General features: G+C 34.6%; 1 long non-coding RNA gene across 3 annotated transcripts in view; it reads right to left on the bottom strand.

Annotated features, from left to right (window-relative positions):
- LOC105374557 (uncharacterized) overlaps positions 1–20,390 on the bottom strand; it is a 485,690-nt gene that overhangs the window by 300,891 nt on the left and 164,409 nt on the right. Inside the window, exon 3 of one of the 3 annotated variants that reach the window (NR_188398.1) lies at positions 13,109–14,496. The exons of the other annotated variants lie outside the window; for them this stretch is intronic. This is a non-coding gene — a long non-coding RNA (uncharacterized LOC105374557). Of the gene's footprint in view, positions 1–13,108; positions 14,497–20,390 lie in introns of those variants that run through there. 3 annotated transcript variants of the gene reach the window in all.

Raw genomic sequence — 20,390 nt, 5'->3', positions numbered from 1 at the left:
GATTTATATTTCATTGAGTATATACCCAGTCATGAGATTACTGAGTCAAATGGTATTTCTGTCTTGAGGTCTTTGAGGAATCGCCCCACTGTCTTCCATACGGCTGAATTAATTTACACTTCCACTAACAGTGTGTAAAGTGTTCCTTTTTCTCCACAACACAGCCAGCATCTCTTATTTTTTGACGTTTTAATAATAGCCATTCTGACTAGTGTTAGATGGTATCTCATTGGGGTTTTGATTTGCATTTCTCTAATGATCAGTGATGTCAAGCTTTTTTTCATATATTTGTTGGTCACATGTATATCTTCTTTTTTAAATTTTTTTTTTTACTTGTTAAATATTTATTTGGAAAATTAATACGATATGCATTTTGGGGGAAGTTAAGGCCTCACCAGTATCAGCATGAACACCCACTGGCACATGAACTTGTTTCCACAGAATGAGTAAAATAGGAATGTTAATTTTATTGACCCAACACCACTGACTCATTGGGAAAAAAAAAAGCCAGAGAGAGAGACCTCTTTCTCTCTCTCTGTCACACACACACACACACACACACACACACACACACACACGTGCGCACTGTGTAACATCAGTAGGAGTCACTGTACAATAGCATATCTGAAAGGCCAAGGTCCATATCTTTACAGATTAAGCTCTAATATATCTTCAACTTCATGCTAGGTGTCTAGTAAAGTATGTGTAAATATTAAATAGAGTTTCCAGGACTTATTAGGGCATCCTATTTGAAAGTGACAGAGGTCTTGTCTTTATAATTTTTTTTTCTGAAAAATATTATTTAATAATTGCTCTTAAAGAAAAAAACCCTTAATTTTTAGAGATATATCTGCATTTTTAATCATGTTTATATTCCTTTCTTCTTCCTCTTTCCTTCTTCCTTCCTTTTTTTATTATTTTATTTTATTTTATTATTATTATACTTTAAGGTTTAGGATACGTGTGCACAATGTGCAGGTTAGTTACATATGTATACATGTGCCATGCTGGTGTGCTGCACCCATTAACTCATCATTTAGCATTAGGTATATCACCTAATGCTATCCCTCCCCCCTCCCCCCACCTCACAACAGTCCCCAGAGTGTGATGTTCCCCTTCCTGTGTCCATGTGTTCTCATTGTTCAATTCCCACCTACGATAAAAAGTTTAACGTTTTTTAAAAATTTAACTTCATTTTAAGTTCCAGGATACATATGCAGGTCATGCAGATATGTTACGTATATTAACATGTGCCATGGTGCTTTCCTTCACTTATCAACCCACCACCTACGTATTAAGCCCCGCATGCATTAGCTATTTATCCTGATGCTCTTTCTCCCCTCGTCCCCCTGAGAGTCCCTGGTGTGTGTTGTTCCCCTCCCTGTGTCCCTGTGTTCTCACAGTTCAGCTCCCACTTATGAGTAAGAACACGTAGTGTTTGGTTTTCTGTTCCTGTATTCATTTGCTACAGACAATGACTTCCAGCTCCATCCATGTCCTTGCAAGAGACATGATCTCATTCCTCTTTATGGCTGCATAGTATTCTATTGTGTATACGTAGCACATTTTCTTTATCCAGTCTATTATTGATTGGCATTTGGGTTGATTCTATGTCTTTGCTATTGTGAATAGTGCTGCAATAAGCATATATGCATATGTATCTTTAAAACAGAATGATTTATATTCCTTTGAGTATATACCCAGTAATGGGATTGGTGAGTCAAATGGTATTTATGGTTTTAGATCCTTGAGGAATCGCCACAATGTCTTTGAAATGTTAAACTAATTTACATTCCCACCAAAGTGTAAAAGCATTCCTATTTCTCCACAGCCTTGCTAGCATTGTTGTTTCTTGACTTTTTAATAATGGCCATTCTGACTGGCATGAGATGGTATCTCATTATGGTTTTAATTTTAATTCATATGTCTCTAATGATCAGTGATGTTGAACTTTTATTAATGTTTTTTGGCTGCAGAAAAGTCTTCTTTTGAGAAGTTTTTGTTCATGTACTTTGTCCACTTTTTCATGGGGTTGCTTGTTTTTATCTCGTAAATTTGTTTAAGTTCCTTGTAGATTCTGGATATTAGATCTTTGTCAGATGGATGGATTGCAAAAATTTACTCCCATTCCATAGATTGTCGGTTCACTCTGATGATAGTTTCTTTTGTTGTGCTGAAGCTGTTCAGTTAATTAGATCCCAAATGTCAATTTTTGCTTTTGTTGCAATTGCTTTTGATGTTTTTGTCATGAAATCTTTGCTGGTGCCTATGACCTGAATGGTTTTGTCCAGCTTTTTTTCTAGGGTTTTTATAGTTTTGGGTTTTACACTTCAGTCTTTAATCTATCTTTAGTTAATTTTTGTATAATGTGTAAGGAAGGGTCCAGTTTCAATTTTCTGCATATGTCTAGACAGTGTTCCCATCACCACTTATTAAATAGAGAATCCTTTCCCTATTGTTTGTTTTTGTCAGGCTTGTTGAGATCAGATGTTTGTAGATGTGTGATCTTATTTCTGAGATCTCTATTCTCTTCCACTGGTCTATGTGTCTCTTTTGGTACCAATACCATGCTATTTTGGTTACTGTAGCTGTGCAGTGTAGTTTGAAGTCAGATAGCATGATGTTTCCAGCTTTGTTCTTTTTGCTTAGGATTGTCTTGGCTACATGGGCTCTTTTATGGTTCCAGATGAATTTTAAAGTAGTTTTTTTCTAATTCCGTGAAGAACATCAATGGTAGTTTAATGGGAATATCATTTAATCTGTAAATTACTTTGGGCAGAGGTACAAAGAGGAGCTGGTGCCATTTCTTCTGAAACTATTCCAAACAATTGAAAAGGAAGAACTTCTCCCTAACTTATTTTATGAGGCCAGCATCATCCTGATACCAAAACCTGGCAGAGATACAACAAAAAAAGAAAACATCATGCCAATATCCCTGATAAATAGCAATGCAAAAATCCTCAATAAAATATTCTGAAAGAAGCTAGAAGAAATAATGCCTTATCTACAAAGGAACAAAAATAAGAATTATATCAAACTTCTCTTCAGAAGCCACAAAAACAATAAGAGTAGAGTAAAATGTTTAAAATGTTGAGGGAGAGAGAGAGAGAGGGGGGCAGAGAGAAAGAGAGAGAGAGAGAGAGAGAGAACCCCAGAAACTAGCAAGCTAAAATTCTGTAGCCTGAAAAATTAACCATTAAAATGGAGGAGAAATGAAAACTTTATGAGACAAATAAACATTGAAGGAATTTGTTGCCAGTAGAATTGCTTTTCAAGAAGTGTTTTTAAAAAGTTTTTTAGAGAGAAGGAAAATGATATAGGTCATAAATTCAAATGTTCAAATGTACATAATGAAAGAAAGAACAATAAAAGGAATATTTTCAATTTTGAAAATTAAAAAAATCAAAAAAATGAAATTTAAAAATCAATTATTTGAATAGATCAATAAAATGTATAAGCCCCCAGATAGGCTACCTAAGGGTGGGGGAAATAAGAAAGGCAACAAATTCCAGTATTAGAAGTGAAAGAGGAGGCATCACTACAAATCCCATGGACATTAAAAGGATAATAAAGGCAAATTGTGAACTATAACCCACAAATCTGATAACCTAGATGGAACAGACCAATTTCTTGAAAGATACAGTTTGCCAAGACTCATACAAAAAGAAATAGACAACCTGCCTGAACCTGTGTGCATGAAATAAATTGAATTGATAACCAGTAACCTTTCAAAACAGAAAGCAGAAGACCCTGATGGTCTCACTAGTGAATTCTATCCATGATTTAATTAATTATACCAATTCTCTACAATTTTTTAAAAACATAAAGCAGAGGTTGTACTTCTCGTCTTGTTCTATGAAGCCAGAATTACCCTAATATGCAAAACAGGCAAAGAAATTTTTAGAAGAAAACTACAGACAGTTAGGCCAGAGAAAGAAATAAAGTACATTCAAATAGAAAAAAAGAAAGTCAAGCTATCCCTGTTTGCAGTTGACATGATTCTGTATCTCGCAAACCTCATAGCCTCAGCCCAAAAGCACCTTAAGCTGATAATCAACTTCAGCAAATTCCCAGGATAGAAAATCAATGTGCAAAAATTAACAACATTCCTATGCACCAACAACAGTCAAGCTGAGAGTCAAATCAGGAATGTAATCCCACTTACAATAGCCACAGAAATAATAAAATATCTGGGAACACAGTTAAACAGCAAGCTGAAAGATCTCTACAAGGAGAAATACAAACCACTGCTCCAAGAAATCAGAGATGACACAAACAAATGGAAAACATTTCATGCTCATGAATAGGAAGAATCAATATCACAAAAATGGCCATACTGCACACTGCCCAAAGTAATTTATAAATTCAATGCTATTCCCACCAACTTAGCATTGACATTCTTCACCAAACTAGAAAAATATTTTAAAATTCATATGGAATGAAGAAAGAGTCCAAATAGCCATGACAATACAAAGCAAAAAGAACAAAGCTTGAGGCATCATGCTGCCAGACTTCAAACTATACTGAAGGGCTACAGTAATTAAAACAACATGGTACTGGTACAAGAACAGACACATAGGCCAATTGGACAGAATAGAAAACCCAGAAATAAGACCAGACATCTACAACTATCTGATCTTTTAAAACCTGACCAAAAAAAAGTATGGGGGAAAATATTCCCTATGAAATAAATGGTGCTAAGATAACTGGCTAGCCATATGCAGAAAATTGGAACTGAACCCCTTCCTTACACCATACACAAAAATTAACTCAAGATGTATTAAAGACTTAAATGTAAAACTCAAAACTATAACAACCCTGGAAGACAACCAAGGCAATACCATTGAGAACATAAGCACTGGCAAATATTTTATGCAAATGACTACAAAAGCAATTGCAACACAAGTAAAAATTGACAAATAAGATCTAATTAAAGTAAAGAGCTTCTGCAGAGCAAAAGAAACTATCAACAGAGTAAACAGACAACCTACAGACTGGGAGAAAAATTTTGCAAACTATACATCTTACAACTTCCATCAATGAAAACCGATTTACAACTGTTACAAAAAGAATAAAATACCTAGGAATACATCTAACAAGGTACATGAAGGAAATTTTCAAGGAGAACTACAAACCACTGCTCAAGGAAATAAGAGTGGACACAAACAAATGGAAAAACATTTCATTCTTGGGGATAGGAAAAATCAATAACATGTATGTCATATTTGAAAAGTATCTGTTCATATCCTTTATCCACCTTTTAATGGGATTGTTTCTTGTAAATTTAATTTCCTTATATATGCTGGTTATTAGACCTTTGTAACTTCCAATACTATGCTGAATAGGAGTGGTGAGAGAAGGTATCCTGTTCTTGTGCCAGTTTTCAAGGGGAGTACTTCCTTCTATTGACTATTCAGTATAATGTTGGCTGTGGGTTTGTCATAGATGACTTATTATTTTGAGATATGTTCCTTCCAAACTCAATTCCATCACCTCCTATATGCTCTGTCTATAAAAAATCTGCTGTTCCTTTTTAACTTTGCCATGTACATTTTATGTACCTCTGCTATATAATTTAGCACAATTAGGTTCATTATTAATGCCTTTTAAACATTTGTGGAGTTTTCTCTATTATGTTTTGAAGTCTGTGAGAGTTTATTATTTACATTTTCTTCCCAAAACTTCACACATTTTGTGAATGCTTCACATGTAATATTAACCAAAATGCTGAGAGGCAATATTTCATAAGTGCTTTGTTTTTTATCTTTTTGCTTTTCAGTCAATGAATTAATGCAAGCTCTATGAGAAAGGGACATGATTACTCTTGATCTGCAGTGAATTGACAGCCCTTAGCATAAGAGTGACTAGCACCTGTTAGGCATTTGATACATGTCTGAACAATCTGTGAGTATATGACTGAAGCACTGAAGCGGTGTAGTATAATAAAATATTCTAATAGGGTGATGAATAAAGAAAAATAAGAAAAAAACAGTTATGCAAGAAATAAGAGTAAGTCAACATACTGAAAGAATATCAGTGATGAAAAATATAAAAAGACTGTCAAAATACCTACAATTTTGTACCAAGTCCTCAATGAGAAAAAAATAATTACAACCTTCATGTCTACATCTGATATTCATGAGGTAGAGGAAAAGCATGGTTTGAGTTTTCAGCAGGTAGAGTCTTTAGTAAATGTTAAATAATTAGGATACCCAAAGCTGAGAATAGACTTAATTTCAGTAGGAGAAATCAATCCAAATTTAATAAGAGAAAAATTTGGTAAATATTTTCAAAATGAAGGCAAAATGTTAAATATGTGAAATGATGAATATGTTAATTAGATTGATTTCTTTTAAATTGTATTCAAATGTCATAGCATCCCTTTTTAGCCCATAAATATACACAATTATAATTTTTTCAATATGTAACAATTTTTTAAAAAGCATGAAAATGGCAGTTTCTAATACATATCCAATATTTTATAAATACTTATAAGTAAATGAATGAATTACATCAGTGTGAGCACATACATCAAAAATATGCTTATTTACAACCAATTTGTTTCCCTTGTATGCTTTAAAAAGTAGGAGAGGGTTTCTCAGTTCCTCCTTTCTTTCTCCCTGTCATCTCTCCTTGTGGGGAAGAAAACAACTGTTAATTTACATAATAAGTGGGTGAGGTGGGCAGGAATAAAAACTCAGAGAGTTTTAAATTCAACAGAAAAAAATAAATAAAAGGAGGTTTATAGTGCAACAGACATGGAAAAGGAGAATTTTGAAAAGTATTTCAGGAGAGGTAACAAGCCACACAATTTAAGCCACTGGGACTAAGGAAGGTAAGGCCACTGGTTTTAATAAAAGTTCAGTAAGAATTAATGTTGATGGGATGTTAGGTAGAGAAAAGCATCCTTCCCATTCCATGCAATTCTTATAAATGTTTGAATTTCTTATTATTCTATTATGTTTAATAGAATTGTTTAAATATTTGGAATTACATGAAATTAAATGAAAAGTTTAATAATATTATTTTTCCTTTCAATTTGTCTCTCTAAATGATAATTTTATGACAATGCCTTCATCTACCACCTTTGTAGGAACAAAAAAAAATTACTTATAACCGTGTGTGTGTGTGTGTGTGTGCTGTGACCACCTTTTTTGCTCTGCACAGCAACATTGAGCAGAAGGCATAGAGATTTTTATATAACCCCTGCCCCCATACACACAAACCTCCCCCACTTTCAACATCCTTCACCAGAGTGATACATTTGTTACAATGGATTAACCTATTTTGAAATATCATTATCACCCAAAGTCTATCGTTTACATTAGGGTTATCTCTAGGTGTTGTATGCTGTGGGTTTTGGCAAATGTGTAATGATATGCATCCACCATTATATAACACATGGAATAGTTTTACTGTCCTACAAATACTCTGTGCTCTGCCTACTTACCTCTTCCTCCCGCCTCCCCACCCACCAACTCCTGACAATCACTTATCTTTTTACTGCCTCCATAGTTTTGCCTTTTATAGACTGTCATATGATTGGAATAATACACCACATAGCTTTTTCAGAATAGTTTCTTTCACTTAATGACATGCATTTAAGTTTTCTCTGTTTTCTCATGGCTTGATAGTTCATTCTGTGTTTTCTTTTTTTGTTTATTGTTTGTTTGTTTTTGAGACAGAATCTCCCTCTGTTGCCCAGGCTGGAGGGCAGTGGCATGATCTGGGCTCACTGCAACCTCCCCCTCCAGGATTCAAGCGATTCTCCTCCCTCAGCCTCCCTAGTAGCTGAGATTACAAGTGCTTGCCACCACACCTGGATAATTTTTGTTTTTTGTAGAGACAGGGTTTCGGCATGCTGGCCAGGCTGGTCGTGAACTCCTGACCTCAAGTGATCTGCCCACTTCAGCCTCCAAAAGCGCTGGGATTACAGGCGTGAGCCACCCTGCCTGGCCTAGTTTATTTCTTTTTAGTGTTGAATAATATTCTGTTGTTTGGATATAACAGAGATAATTTATCTATTCACCTGCTGAAGGACATCTTGTTTGCTTCCAAGTTTGGGTAATTATGAATAAAGCCTCTGTAAAATTTTGCATATAGGTTTTTGTGTAGACATAATTATTTTACTTCTTTCAGTAAATACTGAGGAGTACACTTGCTAGATTGTATGGTAAGAGTACATTCAATTTTGTCAGAAATCACCACACTGTCTTCCAACATGGCTGTGCCATTTTGCATTCCCACAAGCAATGAATAAGGGTTCTTGTTGTTCCAAATTTTCTATAGCATTTGGTGTTATCAGTGTTCCAAATTCTGACCATTCTAATACATTCATAGTCATATCTTATCGTTGTTTTAATTTACATTCATCAAATGACATATGATGTTTAACATCTGTTTATATTCTTAGTTCCCATGTATATATTTTTTTCAGTGAGGTGGCTTCAAGTCTTTGGCTCATTTTTTTAAATCTAGTTGTTCATTTTCTTATTGTTGAGTTTTAAGCGTTTTTTATCTAACAGTTTTTTTTATCAGTCACATGCTTTGCAAATATTTTTTCTCATCTGTGGCTTGTTGTTTTTTAATTTTCTTGACAGTATCTTTTACCGAGCATAAAGTACTAATTTTAATAAAGGTCAGCTTCTCAAATGCCTTTTCATGAATTATCATTGGTGTTGTATCTGAAAACTCATTACCAAACCTGAGATCATCCACATTTTCTTGTATGTTATCTTCTAGGAGTTTTAAAGTTTTGCATTTTATACTTACATCTATGATCCATTTGAGTTCATTTTTATGAAGGGTGTAAAGTCATTGTGTAAATTCATTTTTTGACTGTGGATAGCCAGTTGTTACAGTACAGTTTGTTGAAAATGTAACTTTTGCTTATCAAGTTGCCTTTGCTTCTTTGTCAGAGATCAATTTACTATACTTACGTGAGTCTATTTCTGGGACCTCTATTTTATTTCATTGATTTGTTCGTCATTCTTTCACCAACAGAACACTGTCCTGATTACTGTAGCTTTGTAGTAAGTCTTGAAGTAGGGTAGAGTCAATCCTTCATCTTTCTGCTTCTTCAATATCTTGTTGGCTTTTCTGAGTCTTTTCTTTCTTCATATAAACTTTAAGAACAGTTTTCTAATATCCACAAAAAACTTGTAATTTTGATTTTGAGTGCATTAAATCTAAAGATCATGGGAAGAACTGACATATTGACAATACTGAGTCTTTTTATCCATGCAGATAGAATACCCCTTTATTTATTTAGATCTCTGATTTCTTTTTTCAGAAGTATGTAGCTATTAACCTTCAGAGTTTTGTATACTAACATTTTCTCCTACAACCTTGGTATCATTGCTTACAGTTACATGAGTTTTTTTATTGATTCTTTTGTATGTTATACATACATATATATGATTATGTCACCTGCAAATGAAGATAGTTTTAATTCTTTTTTCCAAAATAATACAATATAAACTTTATTTTACTTTCTTGTCTTGTGGGACTTCCAAAACGATTTTGAAAATGAGTGGTGAGAGGGGACATCCTTACCTTGTTCCCGATCTTAGTGGGAAAGCAATAAGTTTCTCACCATTAAGTATGATGTTGGCTGTGGTTTTTTTGGAGATATTTTTTATTAAATTGAGGAAGTGCCCTTCTATTGCTAGTTTACTGAGAGTTTTATAATAAATCATGTTAGATTTTGTTAAATGCCTTTTCAGCATGTATTGATATGATCATGTGATTTTTCATTTTGAACCTACTGATATGATGGATTAAAATAATGGATTTTAGAATGTTAAACCATCCCTGTGTAACTGAAACAAATGTCACTTGGTTGTGGTGTATAATTCTTTTTATACATTGTTGAATTCAATTTGCTAATATTTTACTGGAGATGTGTACTTCTATCTTCATGAGAGATATAAAATTTCTTGATGCCTGGATATAATGTAATAGGTAAAAGAAACTACTGTGAGTAGCCCCTTTAGCAATGTGGTGGTCAAGTGTCGGAGCATGGGGACCAATCTCTAGTCCTATAGATCTCCATATTTTAGTGCACCTGTGTCTCCAGATTGTGAATTTCACAGGTGATATTCACCTCTTCCCATTGTCCTCCCCTCTTAGAAGGGATGGATTCACAAGACAGGGTTACAGTTGGGTATTTCCCTTATTCATTTTGGAAGTCTAGAGCCTGCTGGGTTTGGGAATTTCCCTGCCTCTAATTGGGTTAGACTACAATACTCCAGCAGAGCAGCCTCTGGTTGAATAGCTTCTCTTGTGAGCAACCCTTGTTAGGAAGATAATGCTCTGGTGTATTTCAAAATGATCACTTTTTCCCTCTTCTTGTTGGAAGTAGGTGGGGAATTTTTTTCTTGTATTCACTGTCAGAACCTGGTCAAGCTCTTTGAGATAAAACTAACAAAAGTGTGAAGCCTACTATAACTGGGTACTCTTGGAGAGGAGATTTCAGCTCTCAGACTTGGCCACATTGAGCTTTGAGCAATTCCTCAATTACAGTTTAGGTTTCCCTCCCCTGACACTGATTCCCTTGGAGCTTTCTGCCTCAGCGTTTCTGCTTTCGTGCGTTGTGATTCTCTGTATCCATCTGTCCTTCTCTCCAATTTTAAGGGCAGCGGTTTGTCCTGTCACTTATGGATCTAAGACTACTTGATTTGTCAGTTTATTCAACCTTTTTTACCAGTTGTTGGGAGGGACTAGCAACTTCTAAATTCTCTAACAAGCTAAAAACAGGAAGTTGTAAGTTAGCTTTTAAAATGTAAATATTACGCCATTTCATCTACTTAACATGTGCCAATGGTTTTCCATTTCTTGATAATTAAATCCAAATTCTTTACCATGAAAAGTTATAATCCTTCCTGCTTGTCTAGGATTTACATACCTCTGTCTAACTTCTTAGACAAGTTAGAAGAGTGAGCCACACAAAAATATTCCCAATGATCAAAACTCACCGTTATTTTCTCACATCTTTGCTTTTACGTATTTCCTGTTGGCTCAGTCTCAATGGGTCAAATTGGGGTAGTGTGGGGTGAATATCAAGCATTGCTGAATCAAGAACTATGTGGAGAAATATGCAAACATACATGTGAAAAACACTGAAATTTAAAAATCAGATTAGATTTTAATAAAAGAGAGAAAAGCAGAAAACTTTATTGTAATTATTTTTAAAATATTATAAATTTATTGAATAATTGTTCTGGAGAGAGTTTAGTAATATGGGGCTGTCTTACTTATTTTGCAGATGTGGAAACTTAGTTTTGCAGAGCCTACAGTTTTGATAAACAGCAAAGTCTAAAAATAAAATCAAAAAGCAGTTAATAATTTTGACTTTCTTATATTCTTTCAATATGGTTTGCATCTGTGTACCCCACCAAATCACATGTGAAATTGTAATCCCCAATATTGGAGGTGGGCCCTGGTGGGAGGTAATTGGATCATGAAGGCTGTTTCTAATGGTTTAGCACTATCCTTCTTGTGCCGTCTCCTGATGGAGTTCTGATTGTTTAAAAGTGTGTGGCACCTCCCTCCTTGCTCTCTCTTTCTTCTGCTCTGGCCATGTGAAGTGCTGGCTTCCATCATGACTGAAGTCAAGCAGAGGCTACCATGCTTACTGCCCAGCCTGTGGAAGGATGAGCCAATTAAACCTCTCTTCATAAATTACCCAGCTTCAGGTATTTCTTTGTAGGAGTGCCAGAATGGACTAATACAGCTTTCTTATACATTACTGTCCCTCCACACGTAGTGCAAGGATAGCTTTTCATTTATTACATGGTTAAGTTAGTCCTGAAGAGTAAACTAGTATAAAAGAGGGTAACTCTGTCTACACCAGTGAATGTTAATGACAATTATTTCCTGTATAGTAGATCTCTCACTGCTGTCCTCATTCTATTTATTCTTCAAGATCTGCCTCAAAGGTCTTCCATTAAATCTTTTCTAATAAATGACAAAGTATGCATTTTTCTCTTCCAAAATTGTATACTTCTGCTGTGATGACATTTATAGTTTTCTACCATATATTATCTCTTGATTGTTATCTAATTGCTACAATGCACAAAATAATATTTGCCAAATAGTTATAATAACTTCAGTTTTCACTTTGAGACAGATCACACTAATTTCAGAAAAGGTTATGTCTCATAAATGAAACGGAATGATATTAATTCAAAGGAGCTTTGGAGAACAGCTGTACTTGAGTTTATTAGTCAGAATTAGGCATTGTTCACAAGATTACCTCATTAGACATTGTATGTAACAGACCTTAGCTTAAAGCCAAAATAGAAAAATGAAAATTAAATACAATTGTGGATTTCAGCCTCTATATAATGCACTTGAAGACCTATCCAACTAAAACTTCATTTCCGAGTAATATGCCATTAGATAAAAATAGATTCAGCAAAATACAAAATATTAATGCTTGCAACTTATGAAATTTAAGCACATGAGACTCAAATGATAAAAGTAAAATCCAACCTATATTATGTTATTAATGTAATATAGAAATATTATAGGTAATATTTTAAATACTCAAAGTTAAAGGAAAGAGATCATTGTGATATTAAACAAAGCATTTATTTGCATTTTGGAGAGCATATGCAAAGTATGATGCAGGGATTATAGAAATATGTTTAAGTCCTAACTTCATTACTTGCAAGCCAAAAAATATTTTTAAATTTACTTAAGACTTTGGGGCATTTTTCCTTTACATGTAAAATGAAAACAATAAAAATAACTTCATATCTTTTACAGGATTATAAAATGAATCAATGAGATAATGCTTATATAAGTATTTTGTAAGTCATAAAAAATTTTACGTTAGCAAATTTTTAAAGTATTAAATTAGGTAAAAAATAATTCAAGCAAATCTTATAGAAAACAATTATATTTTGTTTATTGCAATATAACCAGTGTCTTTTATAGTGCCAGACATATAGTATATGCTAAACAAAAACTTATTAAATAAATTGGAAATATTACCTGACTATATTCTGTTCGTAAAACTTGTGATAAGTAGTTTAAATTCATGATGAAATCTAAATAGTAGTTCATGAGAGTACATTAATGAACAATTTTCAATCAAAACAAATTAACATTTTCCCAAAAGTCTTTTATTAGCTAATATGTTTTCTTATTTTTAGACATTAGCCATTAGTTGATTTTTGCATTTGAACAAAATTCATAAATATATGTTCAACAGAATGAGAAACAACTTTTTTCTGAGGTCTACAAATATTGGAGGATAATAAGGCATATTAAAATTTTTCCATGGAATTTTCATTTTTTAAGTCTTTTGAAGTTGCTACGTTAATTTTAAAAGTTTCATTCTACGTTGTATGCACATTATTTATCTGCTCATACTTTCATTCATCTTGTTACAGGACAAGTCTCTACTTAGAAAGAACCCAGAGGCAGTGCTAGAAAACTTACTTTGTTATCAACCAAGGAGGTACAAAGATGCACAAAAATGCAACACAGCATCTATTTTCTTAGAACGTAAAAAATTTTAGGTATGTTGTTTGAATTGTCAGGCCATTCTTTTCTTTGAACATCAATATCCCTTGATTGTGTTCTGCAGGCTTCTCTGGCAGAAAGCAAAGAAGAACTAACTATACCTATAGAGATGCTTCTTTAAAGATAATGGTTTGAAATTCAACCAATTAGGCAACACCAGGGATATTGCCAGTAGAAACATATAATGTTGTTTTTGTTGACTGTGTCCTCAGCACTTAATCTACTGGAAAGTATAAATAGAAGATATTACATTATTTATTTTATGTAGTTATAAGAATCTCCTCTTTCAAATATGCATGTTTGTACGACTTCTGTTTAAACCATTTTTTTGGTCCATCCATTTGGTTTTACAGTTCTTCACTAAGAATGCAAATGTAATTGCCCAAAGAAGAAAAAATGTGGATAATTATAGTTACTATTTAAATGTCAAAATGTAAAAATTAGTATCAAGAACAGACATGTGTGAGGGGAATAGGTGGGGCATTGCAGTGGCTTTTCTTTTGTTAAGAGAAGTGAACAGTTAAGAAAAAAAAATTGCCACAATTATTAAGATTTCTGAAAGGTCTCTGGCTAGACATTCCATTCATTCCATTCATTCCAGAAGAGTGATATATCCTTCATCTTCAACAAATTTGCATTGCCACATCTTCCCAAAGAGCCAAGTTTCCAGGCGTAGAGGTTGAGCCCTCCCAGCATGCGTCACTTGGCCATCACTGAAATATTGAATGAATTAGATCTGTCCATTTTTAGAATTGTTATTCCTGGTACTCAGACATGATCATGTTTCTCATCCAGTGAGACAGTGTCTGACCACTTGACTCATCCCAGAATGACTCCAGGGCAGACTGATACAGGAGTTTTAAATTCCAAATGGTTAGGCTTCTTAGTTGTAATGTTGATAACTTACTGTCAAATTTATGTAACAGGAGATCTTTAAGACTGTCGTAACCAAGGGAGCTCTCCCTACAAAATCAAAAACATAACTCTTAAGTCACCCTTATTAATTCCAGCTTGAATCACAATGAAAACATTTCATTCTCACAAAAATTTAGAAAAATGCATCTGTTTGCAATCTCAGGTCCCAACTTCACAAGAATCTTTGATATATTGGTTTTTGTTCAAAATCAGTTTTTAAAAGTAATATCTATGTAAAATATTAGGGCAATTCTAAACTCTTTAAATTTTACAAGGAAGCCATTATGTCTATCCAATATGGATAGACTTAATGCATGTTTGTGTGAATATAAAAATCTAATTTCACGTTATTAAAACATTTCTAATGTGCTTTTATGCATGCAAGTTTTTTTTTTTATTTCAATAGTTTTTTTGGGAAACAGGTGGTGTTTGGTTACATGACTAAGTTCTTTAGCCGTGATTTCTGAGATTTTGCTGCATCCATCACCCTAGCAGTGTACACTGTACCCAATGTGTAGTCTTTTATCCCTCATGCCCCCTACCCTTTCCCCTGAATCCTTAAAGTCTGTTGTATCACTCTTATGCCTTTTCATCCTCAGATCTTAGCTTCCACTTATGGGTGAGAACACAGCCTATTTGGTTTTCCATTCCTGAGTTACTTCACTTAGAATCGTGGTCTTCACTTGCATCTAGGTTACTGCAAATGCCATTATTTCATTCCTTTTTATGGCTGAGTAGTATTCCATGGCACATGTGTTAGTCTGTTCTCATGCTGCTAATAAAGACATACCCGACACTGGGTACTTTATAAAAGAAATAGGTTTAATTGGCTCACAGTTCCACATGGCTGTGTGGGGCCTGGGAAGGCAAAGGAAGAGCAAAGGCACAACTTACATGGTAGCAGACAAGAGAGCTTGTGCAGGGGAATTTCCATTTATAAAACCATCGGACCTCATGAGACTTATTCACTATTACGAGAACAGCGTGAGAAAGACCCACTCCCATGATTCAATTACCTCCCACTCGATCCCCCCCACTACATGTAAGAATTATGGGAGCAACAATTCAAGATGAGAGTTGGATGGGGATACAGCCAAACCATATCAGTGCATGTGTGTGTGTGTGTGTGTGTGTGTGTGTGTATATATATACACACACCACATTTTCTTTATCCACTCATTGATTGATGGGCATTTTGGCTGGTTCCATATTTTTGCAATTGTGAATTGTGCCACTATAAGCATGTGTGTGCAGATATCTTTTTCATATAATGATGCATTTTCCTCTGGATAGATATCCAGCGGCGGAGTAGCAGGATGAGCCGCAGACAAAACCCCTCAGACACCGAGTTAAAGAAGGAAGGGCTTTATTCGGCCGGGAGCGTCAGCAAGACTCACGTCTCAAAAACCGAGCTCCCTGAGTAAGCAATTCCTGTCCCTTTAAAGGGCTTACAACTCTAAGGGGGTCTGCATGAGAGGGTTGTGATCCATTGAGCAAGCAGTGGGTACATGACTGGGGGCTGCATGCACTGGTAATCAGAATGGAACAGAACAGGACAGGGATTTTCACAATGCTTTTCCATACAATGTCTGGAATCTATGGATAACACAAGCAGTTAGGTCAGGGGTTGATTTTTAACTACCAGGCCCAGGGCATGGTGCTGGGCTATCTGCCTGTGGATTCCATTTCTGCCTTTTAGTTTTTACTTCTTCTTTCTTTGGAGGCAGAAATTGGGCATAAGACAATATGAGGGGTGGTCTCCTCCCTTATGGGATTATGAGATCAAATGACAGATCTATTTTTAGTTCTTTAAGGAATCTCCAAACTGTTTTCCATAGTGGTTGTACTAGTTTACATTCCCATCAGGAAAGTAAAAGTGTTCCCTTTTCACCACATCCATGCCAACATCTTTTTTTTTTTCTTTTTTGATTATGGCCATTCTTGTCAGAGTGAGGTGGTATCACATTGCTGTTTTGATTTGCATTTCCCTGATAATTAATAATGTTGAGCATTTTGTCATATGTTTGTTGGCAATTTGTACAACTCCTTTTGAGAATTATCTATTCATGTCCTTAGCCCACTTTTTGATAGGATTGTTTCTTTTGTTCTTGCTGATTTGTTTGAGTTTCTGGAGATTCTGAATGTTAGTCCTTTGATGGATGCAGAGATTGTGATGATTTTCTCCCACTTGGTGGGCTGTCTGTTTACTCTGCTGATTATTTCTTTTGCTGTGCAGAAGCTTTTTAATTAATTAATTAAATCCTATTTATCTGTTTTTTGTATTTGCTTTTGGGTTATTGGTCATGAAGTATTTGCCTAAGCCATTGGCTAGAAGGGTTTTCCCACTTTTATCTTCTAGATTTATGGTTTCAGGTCTTGGGTTTAAGTCTTTGATCCAACTTGAGTTGATTTTTGTATAAGATGAGAGATGAAGATCCAGGTTTATTATTCTACATATGACTTGCCAATTATCCCAGCACCATTTGTTGAATAGGGTGTCCTTTTCCCACTTTATGTGTTTGTTTGCTTTGTCAAAGATCAGTTGAGTGTAAGTGTTTGGCTTTATTTCTGGGTTCTCTATTCTGTTCCATTGGTCTATATGTCTACTTTTATACCAGTACCATGCTGTTTTGGTGACTATGACTTTATAGTGTAGTTTGAAGTCAGGTAATGTAATGCCTCCATATTTGTTCTTTTTCTTAATCTTGCTTTGGCTATGTGGCTTTTTTTTTTTTGGCTCCATATGAATTTTAGGATTCTTCTTTCTAGTTCCGTGAAGAATAATTGTGATATTTTCATGGGAATTGCATTGATTGATAGATTTCTTTTGGCAGTAAAAGGATTTTCACAACCTTGATTCTACTTATCCATGGGCATGTGATGTGTTTACATTTGTTTGTGTCATCTATTATTTCTTTCAGCAGTCTTTTGTATTTTTCCTTTTAGAGGTCTTTCACCATCTTGGTTAAGTAAATTTCTTAGTTTTTCTTTCTGTTGTCTGTTTTTGCAGCTACTATGAAAGGGGTTGAGTTCTTGATTTCATTCTCAGCTTGCCCACTGTTGGTGTATAGCAGAGCTACTAATTTGTGTACATTAATTTTGAATCCTAAGTTCCTTTACCAGTTCCAGGAGCTTTTTGGATGAGTCTTGAGGGTTTTCTAGGTGTACGATCATGTCATCAATGAACAGTGAGAGTTTGACTTCCTCATTACCAACTTGGATGCCCTTTATTTCTATCTCTTATCTGATTGCTCTGGCTAGGACTTACAGTACTATGTTGAGTAGAAGTGGTGAAAGTGGGCATCCTTGTCCTGTTCCAGCTATCAGGGGGAACGCTTTCAACTCTTCCCATTTAGTATAGTGTTAGCTATGGGTTTGTCATAGATGGCTTTTATTACCTTAAGAAATGCCCCTTCTATGCTGATTTTGTTTAAGTTTTAATCATAAAGTGTTGCTGGATGTTGTCAAATGTTTTTCCTGCATCTATTGAGATGAACATGTAATTTTTGTTTTCAATTCTGTTTATGTGGACTATCACATTTATTAACTTGCATATGTTAAACCATCACTGCATTTCTTGTATGAAACCCACTTGATTGTGGTAGATTATCTTTTTGATATGCTGTTGGACTCAGTTTGCTAGTACTTTGTTGAGGATTTTTGCATCCATGTTCATCAGTCATATTGGACTGTGGCATTCTTTTTTGCTTATGTTCTTTCCTGGTTAGGGTATTGGGGTGACACTGACTTCATGGAATGATTTAGGGAGGGTTCCCTCTTTCTCTATCTTTTGGAATAGTGTCAATAGGATTGTTACCAGTTCTTCTTTGAATGCTTGATAAAATTCAGCTGTGAATCTGTCTGGTTCTAGACTTTGTTTTTGTTGGTAACATTTTAATTACATTTCAATTTCACTGATTTTTATTGGGCTGTTTATAATTTTTATTTCTGGATTAATCTAAGAGGGCTGTATATTTCCAGGAATTTATCCATCTCCTCTAGGTTTCCTAGTTTATGCGTATAAAGTTGTTCATTGTAGCCTTGACTAATCTTTTGTATTTCTGTGGTAATCGTTGTAATATCTCCTGTTTCTTTTCTAATTGAGCTTCTTTTTATTTTCTCTATTCTTTTCTTGGTTAATCTCACTAATGATCTATCAATTTTATTTATCTTTTTAAAGAACCAGTTTTTTGTTTCATTCATCTTTTTTTGTTTTAATTTAATTTAATTTAATTCTGCTCTGATCTTTTTTGTTTTGTTTTGTTTTGTTTTGTTTTTCTGCTGCTGGATTTGGGTTTGGTTTGTTCTTGTTTCTCTAGTTCCTTGAGGTGTGACCTTAGATTGTCTCTTTGTGCTCTTTCAGACTTTTTGATGTAGGCATTAATAGCTATGAACTTTCCTCTTAGCACTGCTTTTGCTGCTTCTCACAGGTTTTGACAGGTTGTGTGACCATTATCATTCAGTCAAGGAATTTTTAAATTTCCATAAGGATTTCATTGTTAACCTGATCATTCAGGAGCAGGATATTTAATTTCCATGTATTTGCATTGTTTTGAGGCTTCCTTTTGGAGTTGGTTTCCAATTTTACTCCACTGTGGTCTGAGAATACTTGCTATAATTTCAATTTTCTTAAATGTATTGAGACTTGTTTTGTGGCCTATCATATGGTGTATTTTGGAGAAAGTTCCATGTGCTGATGAATAGCACGTATATTCTGCAGTTGTTCAGTAGAATGTTCTGTAAGTATGTAAGTCCTAAATCTAGGGCAAAGTTTAAGTCCATTGTTTCTTTGTTGACCTTCTATCTTGATGACCTGTCTAGTGCTGTCTGTGGAGTAATTAAAACCCCCCATCATTATTGTGTTTATGTCTATCTCATTTCTTAAGTCTAGTAGCAATTGTTTTAAAAATTTGGGAGCTCCAGTGTTAGGTGCATATATACTAAGGAATGTGATATTTTCCTGTTGGATTGGTCCTTTTATCATTATATAATGTCCCTCTTTGTCTTTTTAAACTGCTGTTGCTTTAAAGTTTGTTTTGTCTGATATAAAAATAGCTACTCCTGCTCACTTTTGGTGTCCATTTGCATGGAATATTTTTTCCTACCCCTTTACTCTAAGTTTCTTGAGTCCTTATATGTCAGGTGAGTCTCTTGAAGAGAGCAGATATTTGTTGGTCAGTTCTTATCTATTCTGCCTTTCTGTATCTTTTAAGTGGAGCATTTAGGCAATTTGCATTCAACATTAGTATTGAGATGTGAAGTACTATTCTGTTCATTGTGCTTTTTGTTGCCTGAATACCATGTTGTTGTTGTTTTTTCATTGTGTTATTGTCTTATAGGTCCTCTGACATTTATGCTTTGAGGAAATTCTATTTTTATGTATTTTGAGAATTTGTTTTAAGATTTAGAGCTCCTTTTAGCAGTTCTTGTAGTGCTGGCTTTGTAGTGGCAGATTCTCTCAGCATGTGTTTGTCTGAAAAAGACTGTAACTTTTCTTCATTTATAAGCCTTAGTTTCACTAGATACAAAATTCCTGACTGATAATTATTTCGTTTAAGTAGGCTAAAGATAGGACTTCAATCCCTTCTAAATTGTAGGGTTTCTGCTGAGAAATCTGCTGTTAATCTGATAGGTTTCCTTTATAGGTTACCTGATGCTTTTGACTCACAGCTCTTAAGATTCTTTCCTTCATCTTGACTTTAGATAACCTAATGACTATGTGCCTCGGCAGCGATCTTTTTGTGATGAACTTCCCAGGTGTTCTTTTAGCTTCTTGTATTTGAATGTCTAGATCTTTAACAAGGACAGGGAAGTTTTCCTCAATTATTCCTTCAAATATGTTTTCAAAACTTAGATTTGTCTTATTCCTCTGGAACACCAATTATTCTTAGGCTTGGTCATTTAACATAATCCCAAACCTCTTGGAGGCTTTGTTCATTTTT

This window comes from Homo sapiens, chromosome 4 (assembly GCF_000001405.40).
Source record: "Homo sapiens chromosome 4, GRCh38.p14 Primary Assembly".
In the NCBI taxonomy this organism is placed as follows: domain Eukaryota; kingdom Metazoa; phylum Chordata; class Mammalia; order Primates; family Hominidae; genus Homo; species Homo sapiens.
Note: the sequence above shows the minus strand (reverse complement) of the source record. Positions and strands in the feature narration are given on the sequence as shown.